This window comes from Homo sapiens, chromosome 2 (genome assembly GCF_000001405.40).
Source record: "Homo sapiens chromosome 2, GRCh38.p14 Primary Assembly".
Classification (NCBI taxonomy): Eukaryota; Metazoa; Chordata; class Mammalia; order Primates; family Hominidae; genus Homo; species Homo sapiens.
The window spans coordinates 160,485,351-160,502,908 of NC_000002.12; the positions used below are offsets into that span (position 1 = coordinate 160,485,351).

Below are 17,558 nucleotides of genomic sequence, written 5' to 3' on the forward strand. Positions count from 1 at the left end.
CTCACCCAAAGAAAGCAAAGACGAGTTCCTGGAAATCTAACTCTGAAAACTCACCCCTCTCTCCAAGAAACATCTGATGTGGTGATTTGGTTCAATGGCAGTGTTAGTAGAGAACTATACGTGAATTATAAAGTGGGTTACTTTTACAGACTCTTACAGGTTCGCTGGGGACCATATCATTAAGGATAACTATTTATTTATGAAATGAATTTCAAGTTTTAAATAACCAAATGACAAGCGAACTGTTTGGAATAAAATTGTTGGAAATGCAACTCACTTATAAGTTAAGGTATACCCAATTTTTGAACAAATCACATAGAGCATGAGAAAAACATCATCTAGTAGCCAGTTCTCTGATAGGTAATTCTTTCTGTGTTTATTGTTTTTTAAATAGAAGTATACAAATGATCATATGGAATGAAACCTAAAAAGAGGCTGAGATTAGGCACCTTTTTAAAAGAATGTCATTTTAGAAACAATGAAATTAATCAGAGCTGTACTTTGTAGGAGGCAAAGAGAGTCGTGGGAGTATTTCAGCTAGTGACTTGAAAATACATTTTTCTGGCAAATTTTTCTTTTTATAAATGTCTGCATTTGTCAAAAACCTGTTGGATGATGAAACGAAATTGTTGTTGAGAAGACAAAGGTAAAGTTGACGATATTACAAATATCAATATAATTTACTTTTCCTAATGACTAAATATTTTATCTGAGACCTTATTATATAAACTGTGAAAGTATTTCATTGTAATTCTACTGGTAAGGGAGGGTTTAGGGGTTCTCCAATTCAAATATACTCCCAATTGCAACTCAAAATCATCATGTTTAAAAAGTATTTAACAGGGGAAATAGTATAGTATTATTTGAGGATAATATAAATGTAAGCTCATAATATAAAATTCTGTTTTCGCAATTTGATTCCCTGTCCTCCACCCCCCACCCCCAGTCCAAGAAACTCAAGTTCGGAGCATGGCATTCTATGATGTATCCATCCAATTCTGCCATTCTAAGTATTCAGTTTTTCAACTTGTAGAAGAAACACCTCTAGTATTGTGTGAAATGGGTCTGGGAAGATGATGCATTTTTCCTTCAGGACCAGTGAAAATATTTATGACATCTATGAAATGATCTCATTTTGTTGCACAAAACCTTTCCCTGAAATCACTGTTTATCTGGGACCCAGCAGCCCAACTGCATAGCGCATGTTGTTCAATGGGCAGCCTGAGGAATGGATTCCAGGGCCCATATTGAGGCCAAGTAGAGGACAACAGGACTCCTGAAGCACTTGGATCCAGTTGCAGAGGTGAATATCTTATTTTGAAAGAATTAAAGCTGGCTGATGACCAGATAAAGAGATATCCACTAAAGATCAGGAATAATTTTTTAACATCTTATTTTCTGAAGAAATGCCAGCCCACATTAGACACATTATAAATGTGTAGATTGCAGGCAAGCAATGATCTAATTAGCAGCATTACAAACCCCAAACTTATTTCCTCCCCTTTGCCGGAAGCAAAGCTAATCAGTTAGGAGAAATAAACATCATTCCAAATGGCTCAAAACAATCAAAGTTATATTTCTGTATAACCACTATGCCATCATTTAAGGAGTACATTTCCAACCTGCCACACCTCTAATAGGTTGGCTTAACAGCACATTTGTAAGCATAAAACTAGAAAAATAATAGGGTGAAATAAATTAATTGAATATGAAACTTTAAGGAGAAGTTAACATAAAGTACAAAAAAATTATTCGTTTAAAATTCTAAGTACTCTTAAAAGAATTTATACAGCAGAAAAAATGCAAAACAATGCTGGTAAGTAAAAAAATTCATTTATTCATTTAAAGCCTTATGTCTTTCTAAAATTCCCAGATTTATTGTAGCTTTTATTAGCACTTTTCACTTTCTTGCAAAAGACATGGCAAAGTGTTTAATCCTACATATATCTTAGTGCCTTCTCAGTCACTAAAACCCAGGACATCAGCTGGTGTGCTGCTTTCGTGGGTGCACTACTTTGTAAATATTCTGTGCTTATTTCTTGCCTTGTGTCTATTCTGTCCTCCCTGGTAGCTTGTGAGGTGCTGGAGAGCAGGTACCAGATATTCAACTCTTTAAACTTTCCCAATGTCAAGTGCAAAGAATGATGTACTGGGGTCACTCAGTAAATACAATTGATTGGCTAGTGTTTTAGTCCTTCATCATGAGCCTCAGCAATTTTACAACAACTACCAGCTTAAATCTTTACCTAATCCAAAACACAGATATTATAGTGAATGTAGGAAATCACCCACCAACATTGATTTAGCATGTTTACAGTGCCAGATCTACATGCAAGCTAACTGTTCATATCAGCATCCAACCTCACTTTTAGAATCTAGGTTTTCATATTCAATGTCCAACATATTCTCAATCTTCTAAAATGCATCCATTTAAGAATTAGTTAAGAGACAACATGGGGAGAGAATAACAATGCTTAATTTTATACACTTTTCTCCCCTAGGAGGTTCAGATGTTGATTTTTTCTCTCTCCTTTTTGTTTTTCTCTCATCATTTTGACATGCTTATTTTCCAGGGCTTGTTTGAAAAATTAAAATATTCACATAATTTTGTTAAGGAGACTAGATGCATTGAGGAATTAGATTATGGGAGATATATGTTCAGTTTGTGGTTGGCTTAGCTGTTACCATCCTCTCTACACTCTTCTATTGACCTCATATCTACCAGACTAAGAAATGCTTTGTTTCTATTATCAAATTTGCATATGTACTCAAATTTGTGTGTGTGTGTTCAACACACACCATTTGTTCTAAAATTACATTTTGCTCTGTATCACCTAACCAAACTACCTATGGTAGACCTCCATCGTCCCATTGCTGCCTCTCATGAGGCACAGCTGAGTTCCATCAGGTTTCATTATTTATTCATTAAAATAAAACAGCAGAGGCTGGGCGCAGTGGCTCATGCCTGTAATCCCAGCACTTTGAAAGGAGGCTGAGGCGGCGGATCACGAGGTCCGGAGTTCAAGACCAGCCTGGCCAACGTAGTGAAACCCCGTCTCTACTGAAAATACAAAAATTAGGGAGGAATTGTGGCACGCGCCTGTAGTCCTAGCTACTTGGGAGGCTGTGGCAGGAGAATTGCTTGAACCTGGGAGGCAGAGGTTGTAGTGAGCCGAGATCGTGCCACCACACTCCAGCCTGGGCAACAGAGCAAGACTCCATCTCAAAAATAAATAAATAAAACAGCAGAGGAAACAGAACATTTAAATTCATCCCACATAAAATCCCCAAGCCGATGTTCAACTTTTGAATATTTGGTTTGGTTTTATACCAAATGTTATGGTGCTGCATTTGAACAACTGACAGGTCATTACTACATTTCTTTAAAATAAGCTATTTTAGATTGCATAAAACACTTCCACTTGAGAGTAACTTGACATACTCCTATTTCTATAATATTCTATTATTTCTATAATATTCCAATAAATAGGATAAAACTTTACTGTCTCAATTTAAAAGCTAGATGCCGAAATGGTTTCAATAAACTATTAAAAATACAAAGTCAGAGCAATATATTAGTAAAAATTCTTTTCTTGAATGTATATTACATGGAAATTCCCCACATTTGAATTTAAACTCAAAGCCAAGATTGCCTAAGATGTAAGGTGTATGTAGTTATACTGATACTAAATGACTGAATACTTTCCTAGCTCACCTATCTTTTCCTTTTCCCTTCAAGGAACTTAAGATTTGGCTCCCAACATAGGGGAAAAAACAAAAAGTTGTATGGGAAATTCAAAAGAAATAGCTGTTGGAAGAGAAGGGTGCTACACTGTTGCATTGTAATGCATCTTCATTTTAATAGTTACATGTCCTTCAGCCTTTCAATACCACTTCCAGATAGTCATACATAATACCCCACTCACTTAAGGAAATAAGGTTGATTCATCAGTGTAAAATACTGCATTACCAAACTGACATATTTTAAGCAAACTTTATTTACATCATAAATGTGGTTACTTCTTATGACACAAAGCGCCCCATGTCTGAATATTATGCCTGTGTACTTCCACTTCATTAGATGCAACAGTTTTATGTATCAAATCAGGACTACTAATTTCTGGAGAAACAGATTGATACAATATTCATTTGGCTAGAAGTAAGTAAGAGTTAAGGAATTCAATAAAAAATGCATGCAAAAGTTCAATGCAGAAAAACTGCTTTGTTCTACTAGCCTTTATTAATAGAATAAATTATATCATTTATTATTTTCAGATTCTGAAGCTAGGTTCAGATATATTCTGTGTCATAAGCGTATGTAAAAATGGCGTAAAAACAAAATTGTTTTGTTTTAGAAAGAAACGTATCTTTCGTATAGACATTTCTTCAGCATGGAAAACAATACTTCTTCATACACAAAAACTTAAAAAAATCAAGCTTTCCATTAATTTTATAGAAATATATTCTTAGAACTATGTGAATAAAGATTACAACTGTCCCAAATTGCTTTCAGTTGGTACAAAATATGTAGCTAACTAATCATGGAAAGAAAATTTTGTACTTCCCTTTCTTCAAAAGAAACAGAATATTTCAATCCCCATAACTATTTACATACATGCACTGGCAATAATGTATGTTGTAGTATCTTTGAAATAAACAGACCATAATTCAAGGGTTGCTTTTACAATAAGTGAAATTAATGCAGCCACTGGTTGAAAATGTGTACATACAAATCTTTAAGTTAAAATATGTTAGATTATCAACATCTTTTTTCTGTGTAGCTAAAAGATGGATATTAAATTTAATATAATACAGCATAGGTCATTTTAAAATTGAGAAAATTATTTAGGACAATATGTGGTTATGTTTATAAAGCTACATCAAGCTACATTTCAGAATGAATGTGTCAGCTGATAAAAAGAACCTGCTGTGATAAGACCATCCTCACTGAGAAATAAAAAAAAAAAACAAAAAACCAACAGCATGTGAAATCAGGTTACTTGAAATTTATGTAACTCTACACCAAGGTATTATGAATATTATACAATCTCATTCATTTCCACTCATGTCCTGCTCTTCCATAGTACACTCAAGTTTATTTTACATTTCATGGAGACATATTACTTTTTCTAATGATTTTTTTTCTTTCTGTCAAAGTACAAAGCATACCAATATGGTCATTTGCTCCAATATAGCCCAACGGATGGTATTTTTTTATTAATAAAATGTGGAAGTAACTAGTATGTTTTTATGGGGAAAATTACAAAATAAGTTTACCAAAATAGACTGGATCACTAAAACAAGAAGAATGGTTTGGCATATATAACTTTTAAAAGTATGGTAACAAAACAAACTGTTAAGTTCCATTTTACCTGGTATTATCTGTTCCTTCTGATTAAAAGAATTAGATTTGAGAAAATCACATCTATCTCTTGAGTACAAATTAGCTATCACTTTTTAGATGACCATGCCATTCTTCAGTTTTTGATATAGCTTCCAAACAGAAGTTTCAAAATGACTCTGCCTAGCAAACACATCACTGTACTTTAAACAGAGTGATGTTTTCTATCCCATATTTTCGGAAGGTTAAAGCACACACAGAGGCAAGAATCATGACAGACAGCAGATCCTAAGAGAGTTTATTAACTCTTTAGGTAGATTAGGCAACACTTGTTTTTAAACTAACTACAAATCAAAGTCTTTTTTTTTTTAAATGATTCAACATTACTACCATGCTACCAACAGATACATAAGGGAGAGAAAAAAAAAAGGGCTGCCTGTTCCGAACTCTGCTTACCTAAAATTTGCATCTAGTCACGTGCCATTTTTAGAAGATGTCCCCTTCTGAGATAATCAAGATACTTGTACAACAGGGAATTTAGACTTAATTACCAAACTTTAATACCATGTTATATAGGTCAAGTGAGTATGTATACCTTTCTCCAGAAACAAAGGAATTCCGAATAATAGGATTTCAGATTTAATTGTAGAATTAGCAAAATGTTTTGAGAATGTCATTTACCGCAACACAAATCAATATTAAATGCTTTATGCAGGAAGCACACTTTCAGAAAATGGGCCGTAAAGCTTTCTGGGATCCGACCCTAATTACTAGAGCAGGCTCTTGCCGTTTGTCTCTCTCTTCAATTATTTACAGGGCAAAAAAGCCAAATGGCATTGCATTAGCTACATTAAATGGTATGGACTTGGTTTCTAACTTACTAATGGTATATAAAAATTACTAAGGTAAATGTGCCTGTAGAAACATGGCTTTTTTTCTTCCTCACCTGAGTGGGTGTATTTATTATTCATATTGTTAAGTGTTGAATAAGCTGTCCTTTAGGCACCCAATGCTGCATAATTTAAACAAGTGCATTAAATATATAAGATATCTAAAAGGTAGTGCATTGATTATGCCACAAAATTTCTTTGAACAGCTACCATGTAGCTCACAGAAAACTAGCATCTCCTGCAAGTTCCTAAAACAAATACTGTGAGAACTACACAGAGATGAATAAGGGGTATCCTTGCTGCTACCATCTTGCTGCTTTCTGGTGACCCAAAGTAAAGTGGGAATTGGGGGAAGTGAAAATGAGGCCCGGGATTGCTAGGACATTTCTGGTCTCGAAACTGACAAGTGTCCTTTTTACGTAGACAAATACAGGGCTATGTCGTAAGTACATGAAAACGTGGACCACACACATTCTAAGAAAGAAAAGGCTGAATCAGAGATTCTTTGTACCAGGCCGGAAATGCCCAACTACCAGCAAGCAGAGCATGATTACAACCTCCCAAAGAAAGTTCGGACACTGCATCCATACCTGATTCTTTTGTGATCTAGAAGGGCACCCAGAGTTGTGATAGATGTTAATGGCTGAAGAAGGCTGCTGCGTCCAACTTCCACCCTCCCAAATTCTGGCGGCTGCTTCCAAAGCAGTGAAATTTCCAGTCTTCATGGCCCAAATAATTTTTTTAAATGAGTTCGGGAGGCATCAAATTCTTATTGTAAAAATAAGATAGGCCCACTAACAAAGTACCCAGGGTCCCTAGAAAGCCAGGCGCAATTTGTATGGCTACATGTCATCAACTGTTGTTACCCAAGAGTGTGCCGAGGTCACTTTTTAAAAAGCAACATTGGAAATCGATCTGTGGCAAACATATAAGCTAGTTTTGTTTTTGTTTCTTTTTTAACCAAATACGAAGTCACTTCTTTCTCTGCACTGAAATCTGCCCATTGTCCCTCCTTTGCAAAACCTCTAGAGATTAGAAGGGACATCAATGAACGCGAGTGAACTTTGGCCACTTTTCTACCCAAAACACCAGCGTAAAAGTAGAAATCAGTAACCAGGTGAAGTGCCACACCGCACAAAGATCAGAGGCGAGGGGCGGGCGCTCAGGGCCGGAGGCGGGGAGGAAAATATCCCGGCCCCGCCGCCCCTCCAGCCCCAGTCATCGCGTGCGCGGGAGGTGGAGGGGCGTCCCTGGGGGGCGGGAGGCTCCGCGCCACGGCGAGGGGAGCGAAGAGTTACAGCTTACAGGGCGAGGCCCTTGGAGAAGGGGTCGAAAAGCCGGGCCACCAGCGGATCCAGACGCGCACACCAGGCGACGGCCGCCGGCCAGCCAGGGCTCGGCGAGGGGCGCCGCTCGACCCCACGACCCTCCCCGCTGGCCGGGCCAGGAAGGGGCTGGTGGCTCTTTCCTGTCTAGTCTCTCCCCCCGCGGCTTTCTGTAACCCGATCCCCGCACTCCGCTCCCAGGGAAGCCGCCGCCCCGCGCGCCGCCCGGCTCTGCCCAGGCCAGCGCTATAGTTAGCAACCTTCCAGCAACTCCGCCCGGCGGTGGCGGGGGTTCGCCGCGCGCCCCCCTCCCCAGGCCTGACCCTGCGCGCGTCCCCGGGCCCCCTCCTCCGGCCGTCACCTCTCCCCGGCGCCCCTTTACCTTGGCTTGCAGATACTGGGGGTAATAGTAGGTGGCGTACTGAGGGTACATCTGCTGTTTCCACACTTTGCCCATGAAGCTGGAAGGGAGCCTGCCGTGCAGGGTCGCGGACACTTTGGGGTTTCCAAGTCTCGGGCTCTCCTGCCTCTCCCTTTCCGGCGGCGGCGGCAGCGGCGGCGGCGGCGGCGGCTGCTGCTGCTGCCGCTGCTCCACCTCCCAGCCGGGACCAGACGTCCTCCTCCTCCTCCTCCTCTTCCTCCTCCTCCTCCTCCTCCTCCTCCTCTTCCTCCTCCTCCTCCTCCTCCCAGGCAGAAAGAAAGACACTGCAGAGCGCAGAGGGCACCCCGGACAGGGCGCTCCCAAGGAGTTTCCTCCCGGAGCCCGACTGCTCCGGGGCTGCCAAGGGCTGGCGCGCTGGCCGCGGTCCGCTCGGGCGAGCCGGCTGCGCGGGGCTGAGAGGTGATCAATACAAGTGGAAAGTGCGGCAGCGGCGGCTGCGCTTGGTGCCAGGCGGCATCTGGGGTGGGTGCGCCCGATGTGGAGAGAGGAGAGGGGCTGGCGTTCCGAGGCCGTGGGGGAAGGGCGGGCGGGGGCGGGGCCTGGGCGCCGCCGAGCCCGGGACCCGCTGGAGGTGAGGGCTGAGTTTTAACCACTCCTCACCTCCCAGGCTCGCGGTTGGACGGGCGGAAGCCCTGTGAGTCCAGATCGCTTTGTGTCGGGGGTGGGGAAATGGGAGTGGGAGTGGGGGTGGAGGGGGAATGCGGGGGGACCCAGCTTAAGAACTGCAGGGCGGGCACCTCTTTTGCTTTCCCGAGTTTTTATCTTCGTAAGGGGGAGGGGAAATAAGGGAAAAGAGGAAATCTGATTAATCGTTCACTTCCCACCGCCCAGTAATTTTTTTTCACAAGGGAAGGAAAATGATTTAATGCCCAACAAAGCTGGAGTCTGGACACCTGGGTTCTGTTCCTCCCACCCACCCCCGACCCGGGGCCACAAGACTAATCTAGGTGACCTTGGGAGGGTTAGCGTCCTTCGGTTTGGTTTTCCCAGATGTGAGACGTGAAATCATGCCCCTTGCACAAGGGGAGGCAAAGCACATACATACATACACACACACACACACACACACACACACCCCTCACAACATATAGACGGATCCTTCTAAGAGGGGGATGCCGCAAAGAGGCAGAATGTTATTAGAGGACACAATATAGACATCAGCTTTTCTCTGCCTCTTTCTAATGCTGCCAGACAGTCTGTCAACTCCCACTCAGGAGCAAGGAAACTCCCTGAGTTTGGAATATTTTAAGGCCATTTTGAAAGTCACGCTGGCATATTGTTGCAGTGTGCTTCAGTGACATATAAAATCAATCTCTCTTTCTGCCTCTCTCCATCTCCTAATTGTCACAGCTCTAGACAGCCTCAGACCAGCAGTGGTTCAGTTCACTACATAACTAGATATAATTTAATGGAATTAATTGGTCCCCGAAGCTGCCTGCAGAAGACTTTTATATTCCAGCTCAAAAAGAGAGCTAATACCAAAATGTACATACGGATAGCATAGGTAAGCAAGCATCCTCAAATTAGGGTTCCGGCACATCTAATAAAATGTAATAAAAAACTGTGTTTGTTATTAAATAGACCTTGTTTACTTTGTCATTTTGGTTTTTGAAGAGTCTTTTGTTAATAGCACAAGGTAAATTAAACTCAACTGGAATGCATTATTTTGTTAAACAGTTATTATTTTTATATGATAACATTTTAAAATAGGTTTAGTAAGATACTTTAAAACAATGACAAAATAAGGACCTGAAACCCTTATAATCGTTCTATGGTTTAGACAAATTTCTAGATCTTACATGTTTGACAAAAACAAAATAAATATAAGTATAGGTGAGAACATTTTGGCTCTGCCAGGAGGCAAATCATGTCCCTCTCATTTACCTATGTAAAAGCCTATAAGGAAGCTAATATTTACTATGTCTGCTATATTGTAGGCACTGTTGAGGTGCATGCAGACCTGAAAAGTGGAATGGGTCACTGTCAGACTAGGGGAGCCTAAAATATTTCCCATATTGTTTCAATGTGGGGCCTTTTAATGTTTTTAAACAGGGAACTGACATGAACTAAATTGTGCTTTAGGAAGACTAGGAATGATGGTTTGGAAGAGTGACAGAAGGAAGAGAAGTAAATCGAGAACAATCGCAGAAGTTCTAGGTTTGAGGTAATAAGGGAAACTACCAAACTTAGACTGTTCTACTTACTGTTTTTTCTGGATGATGGAAATTCAGCCTGTTTTAGAGAGCCCAAAAGCAGACCTACACTTGTATAGACACTTGATTTATGACTGAGTTGGTATTATAGCGCAGTGGAGAAAGAATGAACTTTTCAATAAATGATTCTGGGTCAACTGGCAATCATATGGAAAAAATGAAATGGGAGCCCTGCCTCACACATACCAAGGGAGGAGGGTGGAAAATTGAGGTGAATCATGACCTGGATGTGAAAAACAAAAGTATAAAGCTGTTAGAAGACAATATAGAAGAATACCTTTTTGACCCTGAAATAGGAAAGATTGGTTAAATAAGGGGAACAACAGTGTAAGATTGACAGATTTGACTGTTAACATTAAGAACACTGGTTCATTGAAGGATTTTATAAAAAGCGATAAAAGCCACTAAATACCTGTAATACATATAACACAAAAGGTTAGTATACAGAATGTATAAATAATCAATAAAAAAAGAGAACTTGTTAGAATATGAACAAAAGAATGAATGTGTATTTCACAGAAGCACAAATATTCAGAAAACATATAAAAAGATGCTCAAGTTCATTAGTAATAAGAGAAATGCAAATTAAAATAATACTACTATACCATTTCATATTCACCGGATTTGCAAAAATTAAGAACTCTAAAAATATTAAGAGTAGGTAAAAATGTGGAAGGGGGGAAATCTGAAAACACTGCTTCCTGGAGGAAGTATAAATTGGTCTAACCACCACTTTAGAAAACAATTTGGCATTCCTGAATTTCATTTGCATGTTTCCTACAACACAGTAACAGGTACGTACCTTAAATAAATTATTTTATATGTGCACCAGGAGAAATATACAGGAATGTTCATAATATGCAGAAAATAACTCAAATGTCTACCAACTGTAGAGTGGATTAAAAAGGTTTTAGTATATGCACACATTGGAGTCGTTGCAGAAACAGAAATGAATAAGCTGCAGTTAAAAGCATCAACATGGATCATTTCAAAACTGATGTTGAATGAAAAAGGCAAGTCAACAGAATGCATAAAGCATGATTCCATTTGTATGAAGTTCAAAAACAGAAAAAATAACTAAACAGTATGTTATGTAAGAATAGGTGCAAGAGTAGTTTTTAAAAACTTTTATAAGGAAAATCAAAAGTAAAATAACATAAAATTCAAAACAGTATCTCTTAGGAAGAAGAAGGATGAAGTATTTAAGGAGGGGCCGAAGGAGACCTCTAGAAATAGTAATGTTGGATGTTTTGCTCTGGGTTATTGATAACATGAGACTACATTTCAATACTTTTGTTTTAATGTTCATAAGTTCTTTTGTATTTTTGCTGTATTTCATGTGAAAACATTTTAAAACAAAATCAGCTTTTAATTTTAAGCATGATCATTTTCAAACAAATACAAAAGCAGAGGAACCCTCTGTTCCTAACATCCAGCTTCAACATTCATCAACATTTTGTCATTCTTTTTTCTTCCCTCTTCTCTCTTTCTCTGTCTCACACACACACAAACACACACACACACTTACTTTTATTTTTCTAGAGTATTTCAAAGCAAATCCCAAGCATCATATTTCACCAGTAACTATTCTACTACCTTCCTCTAACAAATAACTTTTTAAAACATAATACCATTGTCACACCCAAAAAATTTAACAATAATTTGTTAATGTGAGCTAATACCCAATTCTTGTTCATTTTCCACTGTTGTCTAAAAATCGTTTTTTGTAGTTTGTCTATTTAAATCAGGTTAAAACAATGTCCACATATTAAATTTGGTTGATATGTCTCTTAAGACTCTCTTAATAAAAAAGTTTGTCCCCATTCATTTTTAAATTTGATATTTACTTGTTAAAGGATTTGGGTCATTTGTCCTGCAGAATTTCCCGCATGGCTGATTGCAACCTCATGGTGTCATTTGCAATGATGGTTAGTTCTAGAGGTTTGATTAGATGCAGATTCACATTTTTTTGACAAAGAATAGTTCCTAGATGGTACTGAACACACATAGGGAATGTGATGTGATGTGTATCCCATCAGAAAACCATAATGTCTGGTTGTCTCATTTTTAGGGATGTTAAGTTGATCAGAAGTTCAGGCATTATCAGTCTGACTTGTTCATTATAAAGTTCCCCATCAACCATTCACAGGATGTTTTTCTACATTCATGAGTTTTACCTCAATCCATTTTTTTTTAAATTAGGAGTTACAAATTGTGGTTTTTCTCCTTTTATAATTTCTTCTGCACTTACTAGTTAGAAATTGTCTACGGAGAAGAACTTTCTGTCTTCAACTCTTTGGTTAACTTAAAATACAGGTAGCAAAGGAAAGGTAGGATAAATTTCTCCTATTTATCAATTTTTAGGAGAATGAGTTGGTGCCCTAGGAAACTCCAAAGCTAACTAGTTTTAAGTAAGATTCTGGATTTGTGGATTTTAATGTACTGTATTTGAATTGCTTCAACCCATTGCAGTCATTATTCTTGTTGGTGCTCAAATTGTCCCATTTTTGGGCAATAGGAGCCCCTTCAAATTGCCTCATGTGAAAAAAAAAAAAACAGACTCTAATAGTCTTGACAGTTTTTTTTTTTTTCTTTTGGCTTTTTAGCATGATAAGATTGTCCCAGGTTCTTATACGGTTCATACCCAGATCTGAGTCAGCTATCAGCCATTTCTCTTTAAAAAAAAAAAAAAGTCAGCTTGCCTTAAAAATTTTAAATAATGACAAATTTTCTAAAAATATGTACTACATGTTTAGCACTTTTGTGGGAAGGAGCTCATGAAGGAATCTTAATAAAACTTTGTGCCAAGATGACCTAGGAAAGCATGACCCATTAAGTGCTTTTTCCCGAAAGAAGTTATACATTGACGTCTGTGCCAGCATTGAAGAAGCATCTTCTATGTGCAGGACATTGGGGATACAGCAGACTTGATGCCTGCCTCACGGAGCCTACAGTCTCGTGAGAGAGACAGTAAAACAATGATAAGTTGTGATAAACTCTATGAAGAAAGCAACAGGATAATAGAGGGAGAGTAACTTTGTGGGAGTTGGGTTACGAATCCTAAGTAAAGTAGTTGGGGACAACCTCTTCCAGGAAGTATAATGAATAAAAATGGGTCAGCCATAAGAACTTTTTATGGAGTAAAAAATGGAGGGTTGTATTCCTACAGAAGAAGCAGCAAGTTAAAAACCTTGAGGCATGAGCTAGTCCATCCAAGATCTACAATCTGTTTTCTCTTATAACCAAAGATAAACATTTTTTATAGTTAATCAGAAGTGGACCAAACAAATCAGTTTTGATTAATGCCTTTGTTCTAATGCCGTCTGCCTGAGACTGTTGGAATAATTGGATAAAATGAGACATTTTGCTACAAAAAGCCCCCGTGCTACAGCATTAGTGAATTGTAAATGAGATTTAGGTTCATGAGAAAGGTCTTATGCAGAACCTGGAACATTACTGAGTGGTTACTATTCTTGTTTCTATAGTAGGTAACTAGGCTATATCTGCAATACATTTACTGAACACTTAAACAGAAAGGCAGTAGTTTGATGAAAGTGTTGCTGGCATATATGTTAGCATTCTTAGAGGGTTAAACAAGTAAGAACATAGGTAAAAGGGAACCAATACTTATAATCTACGATGAGGTTTCATCATGAATAGGGAATTGTTTTATAATCTGCAGGAATGTTTATGTATAAATCTTCTAGCCTGATGTTCCTCAGATATTAATCGTCAGACCCTACTTTGTGAAGCCCTAAATTAAGAAACTAAAATCTTTTATGTCATTGCTAAAGAAAAATATTTTCTTTATAAATGGTAATATGCTTTTAAAAACAATTCATTAAAATGAAACATACCATTTTAAAATTCTCAGAATGTGTTCCCCAACCCCACCAGAGCTTGAGAAGCACTATTGACTTCATACTTCTTACCACAACTCATAACTTCCTTCCTGACCAGGCCCTTCCCATTTTTCCAGATTCATTTCCACTATATTACCTCTTGGCACAGAGTTCTTTCCTCCCTTCCATTGCCTGCTTCTTCCAACCCTCACCATATTGTTGTATGGTGAGGGTTGGAAGTGTTGGAGGGTTGGAAGACCAACTGTGGCCTTTTCTAATCCATTTGCCTAGGGCACCTTTCACCTTTCTTCACCTGGTTCATTCTTACTCTTTCTACAAGACTCAGTTCTATCCAGACTTTCTTCAGCCACCAGGTTGGGTCGAGTACCCCTCCCACGGTTCCCAGTCTGAACCTCTCTCCAAACATCAATCATATGAATTCATTCAGTAAATAAGAACACAACTGGAATGGAGGAGGAGCAGAGTTGGAGGAGAGTTGGAGAATTATAGGCAAAAAGATGAGTATGTGCAAAAGTGTATGCCTGGAGATCTACAAATCATTCATTGTGACTTACAATGCCAAGTACATGCTGCTATGGTCTGAATGGCCCCAAAATTGACATGTTGAAACTTAATCCCCATTGTGTTGGTATTAAGAGGTGGGACCTTTCGAGAAGTGATTAAGTCATGAGGGCTTTGCCCTTATGAATGGATTAGTGACTTATAAAAGGGCTGGAGGGAGCTAGTTTGGGCCTACTTTGCCCTTCTGCTCTTGGCCATGTGAGGATGCAGCAAGAAGGCTCTCACCAAACACTGAATGCCAGCACCTTGATCTTGGACCTGGCAACCTCCAGAACTGTAAGAAATAAATTCCTACAGTTTATTTCTGTGGTATTTTGTTATAGCACATGCATTTTGTTAAGGTACATGCAGAGGTGAGTGAGACTGGAGCTGGAAATACTTAAGTAGGGGCCCACATCATGAGAACTTTATTAGAATACCACTGTGCAATGAGTGAAATTTTAAAAATATATTAAGCATAGTCAATAGAAAGAGGCTTGTGGCCGGGCATGGTGGCTCACACCTGTAATCCCAGCACTTTGGGGAGCCGAGGCAGGCGGATCACTTGAGGTCGGGAGTTTGAGACTAGCCTGGCCAAAAAGGTGAAACCCCATCTCTATTAAAAATACAAAAATTAGCCAGGCATGGTGGTGGGCGCCTGTGATACCAGCTACTCGGGAGGCTGAGGTAGGAGAATTGCTTGAACCTGGGAGGCAGAGTTTGCAGTGAGCCGAGATGGCACCACTGCACTCCAGCCTGGGTGACAGAGTGAAACTCCATTTCAAAAAAAAAAAAGAAAGAAAGAAAGAGCCTTATAAATCATCTGGGCTTTATTCTGTTGACCCAAGGGCATTACTGAGGGGTTTTATGAAATCTGAATTGCAATCTAAGTTACAAGGTCAGATTTATGATTAGAAAGAATACATTGTCATCAAGATGGTAGATAGATTCAAGAGGAATAAGTGAGACTAGAATCAGAAACAGCAATTGTTCTGGAGAAGAAGTGACAATGGCTTAAACTAGAGCCAAGATGTATAAAAGCAGTGTCACTGATCCATTCTAGGTACAGGCAGTAAGGAGTGCATTGTCTGTGGAGAATGTAACAACAATAAGAAAATAACTAAAAATCTGTTGGCTTTCCATTATCACTGAGCACACTTTTTATCACTAAACAATATTAGTAATAAGTATACACCCTCAAAAAATATTTTGTTGGTCTGAGTTCCAAACAATTGCCATGGTTACTGTGGAGGTTTAATAATTGTATTCATTATCTATTACTGATGAATAGTTATTCCCCAAATTTATCAGCTTAAACAACAAACATTTATTATCTCACATGGTTTCTGAGGGTCAGGAATTTAAGAGTGGCTTAGCTGGGTTCCGGCTCAGGGTCTCTCATGAGATTAAGCTGTTAACCAGTGAAGTAGTCACCTGAAGATTTGACTGGAGCTGGAGGAACTGCTTCCAAGCTCACTCATATGGCTGTTGACTGGCATCCTCAGCTTCTCTCTATATGAGCCTCTCTCTACAAGACTGCTCCTGACATGGCAGTGGCTGTCTCCAGAGTGAATGATCAGAGAGAGAGTGTGAGATGGTGTGATCGACTGAGACATAAGCTGCAGTGTCTTTTATAGCCTGATCTCAGAAATGACTTACCATCAATCTGCCATATTCTATTAGTCACCATGTGGCAAGGGACACTGCCTACACAAAAAGGTGAATACTAGGGTGAGCAAAATTAAAGATCCTCTTGGAGGCTGGCTACCACCATAATGTATATGGTGAAAACATTCTTATTACTTAGTCTACTTACTTACTCATACAATAAACATCGTATGCTACTTTGAAGTTAATTTAGAAAATTACTCTTTAAGCAGTTACTCCCCATTTCCCGCTCCTCCTAGCCCCTGGTAACCAGCAATCTGCTTTCTGTTTCTATGGATTTACCACTTCTGGATATTTCATATAAATGGAATTATACAACCTATGACCTTTTCTTGCCTGGCTTCTTTCACTTAGCATAATGTTTTTTTTCAGGTGTATCTGCTTGTAGCATGTTTCAGTGCTTCATTCCTTTTCATGGCTGAATAATATTGTTACACACATATATATGTTAAATATATAATATACATGTATATATCACAATTCATTTATCCATTCACCTGTTGATGGATATTTGGGTTGTTTTCGCCTTTTGGCTATTGTGAATAGTGCTGTAATGAATGTTTATATAAAAGTATTTTGTAGGGGTTGGGTGTTACTGATTTTGACATGCCAGTGAACATTTGAGTGTGTTCAGTAGGTGCTCATGCCTGTGAGTCTAAAGCTAAGAGGAGAGGTCAGAGATTGAGACAGACCTGAGAGTCAGCAATGATATATGGGTTGTGGTTAAAATTAAAAGAAGGACAGGCGTGGTGGCTCATGCCTGTAATCCCAGCACTTTGGGAGGCCGAGACGGGTGGATCACCTGAGGTCAGGAGTTTGAGACCAGCCTGGTCAACGTAGCGAAACCCCATCTCTACTAAAAATACGAAAAATTAACTGGGCATGGTGGCAATGGGACTGTAATCCCAGCTACTTGGGAGGCTGAGTCAGGAGAATTGCTTGGACCTGGAAGACGGAGGTTGCAGTGAGCAGAGATCGCACCATTGCACTCCAGCCTGGACGACATAGTGAGACCCTGCCTCAAAAATAAATAAATAAATAAATAAATAAATAAATAAATAAATAAAAGAAGGATGAGATCACCTAAGGAGAGCATGCACAGAAAAAAGAACAATGGACCGAGGGTAGGAATTAAGTCAAAATATTTATGGCATAAAAGACTTGGCTAAAATCTTTAGACATTCTCTGCTCTAGTACCTTGGGCATCCTTAGCATCAAACCAGCTCACATAGGCAGAGCTTCTCATTTATTCTTAACCTATGAACTTTGTAAAACT

General features: G+C 39.2%; 1 protein-coding gene across 3 annotated transcripts in view, besides 2 other annotated features; it reads right to left on the bottom strand.

Annotated features, from left to right (window-relative positions):
* RBMS1 (RNA binding motif single stranded interacting protein 1) overlaps window positions 1–8,457 on the bottom strand; it is a 221,657-nt gene extending 213,200 nt beyond the window's left edge. For all 3 annotated transcript variants that reach the window (NM_002897.5, NM_016836.4, XM_047445368.1), the window contains exon 1: window positions 7,939–8,457. In NM_002897.5, coding sequence (NP_002888.1) covers window positions 7,939–8,013 — 75 coding nt within the window. In that variant the 5' untranslated portion in view covers window positions 8,014–8,457. The remainder of the gene's footprint in view (window positions 1–7,938) is intronic.
* Window positions 7,998–8,518: an enhancer, noted in NCBI's record as "H3K27ac hESC enhancer chr2:161349859-161350379 (GRCh37/hg19 assembly coordinates)". NCBI's record gives its function as "activates a minimal SCP1, AML or CMV promoter by ChIP-STARR-seq in naive H9 embryonic stem cells {active_cell/tissue: H9 hESC(naive)}" and the evidence as "EXISTENCE:reporter gene assay evidence [ECO:0000049][PMID:30033119]".
* Window positions 8,705–8,884: a silencer, noted in NCBI's record as "fragment chr2:161350566-161350745 (GRCh37/hg19 assembly coordinates)". NCBI's record gives its function as "represses an EF-1alpha promoter that drives an FKBP-Casp9 reporter gene in an ReSE screen in K562 erythroleukemia cells {active_cell/tissue: K562}" and the evidence as "EXISTENCE:reporter gene assay evidence [ECO:0000049][PMID:32094911]".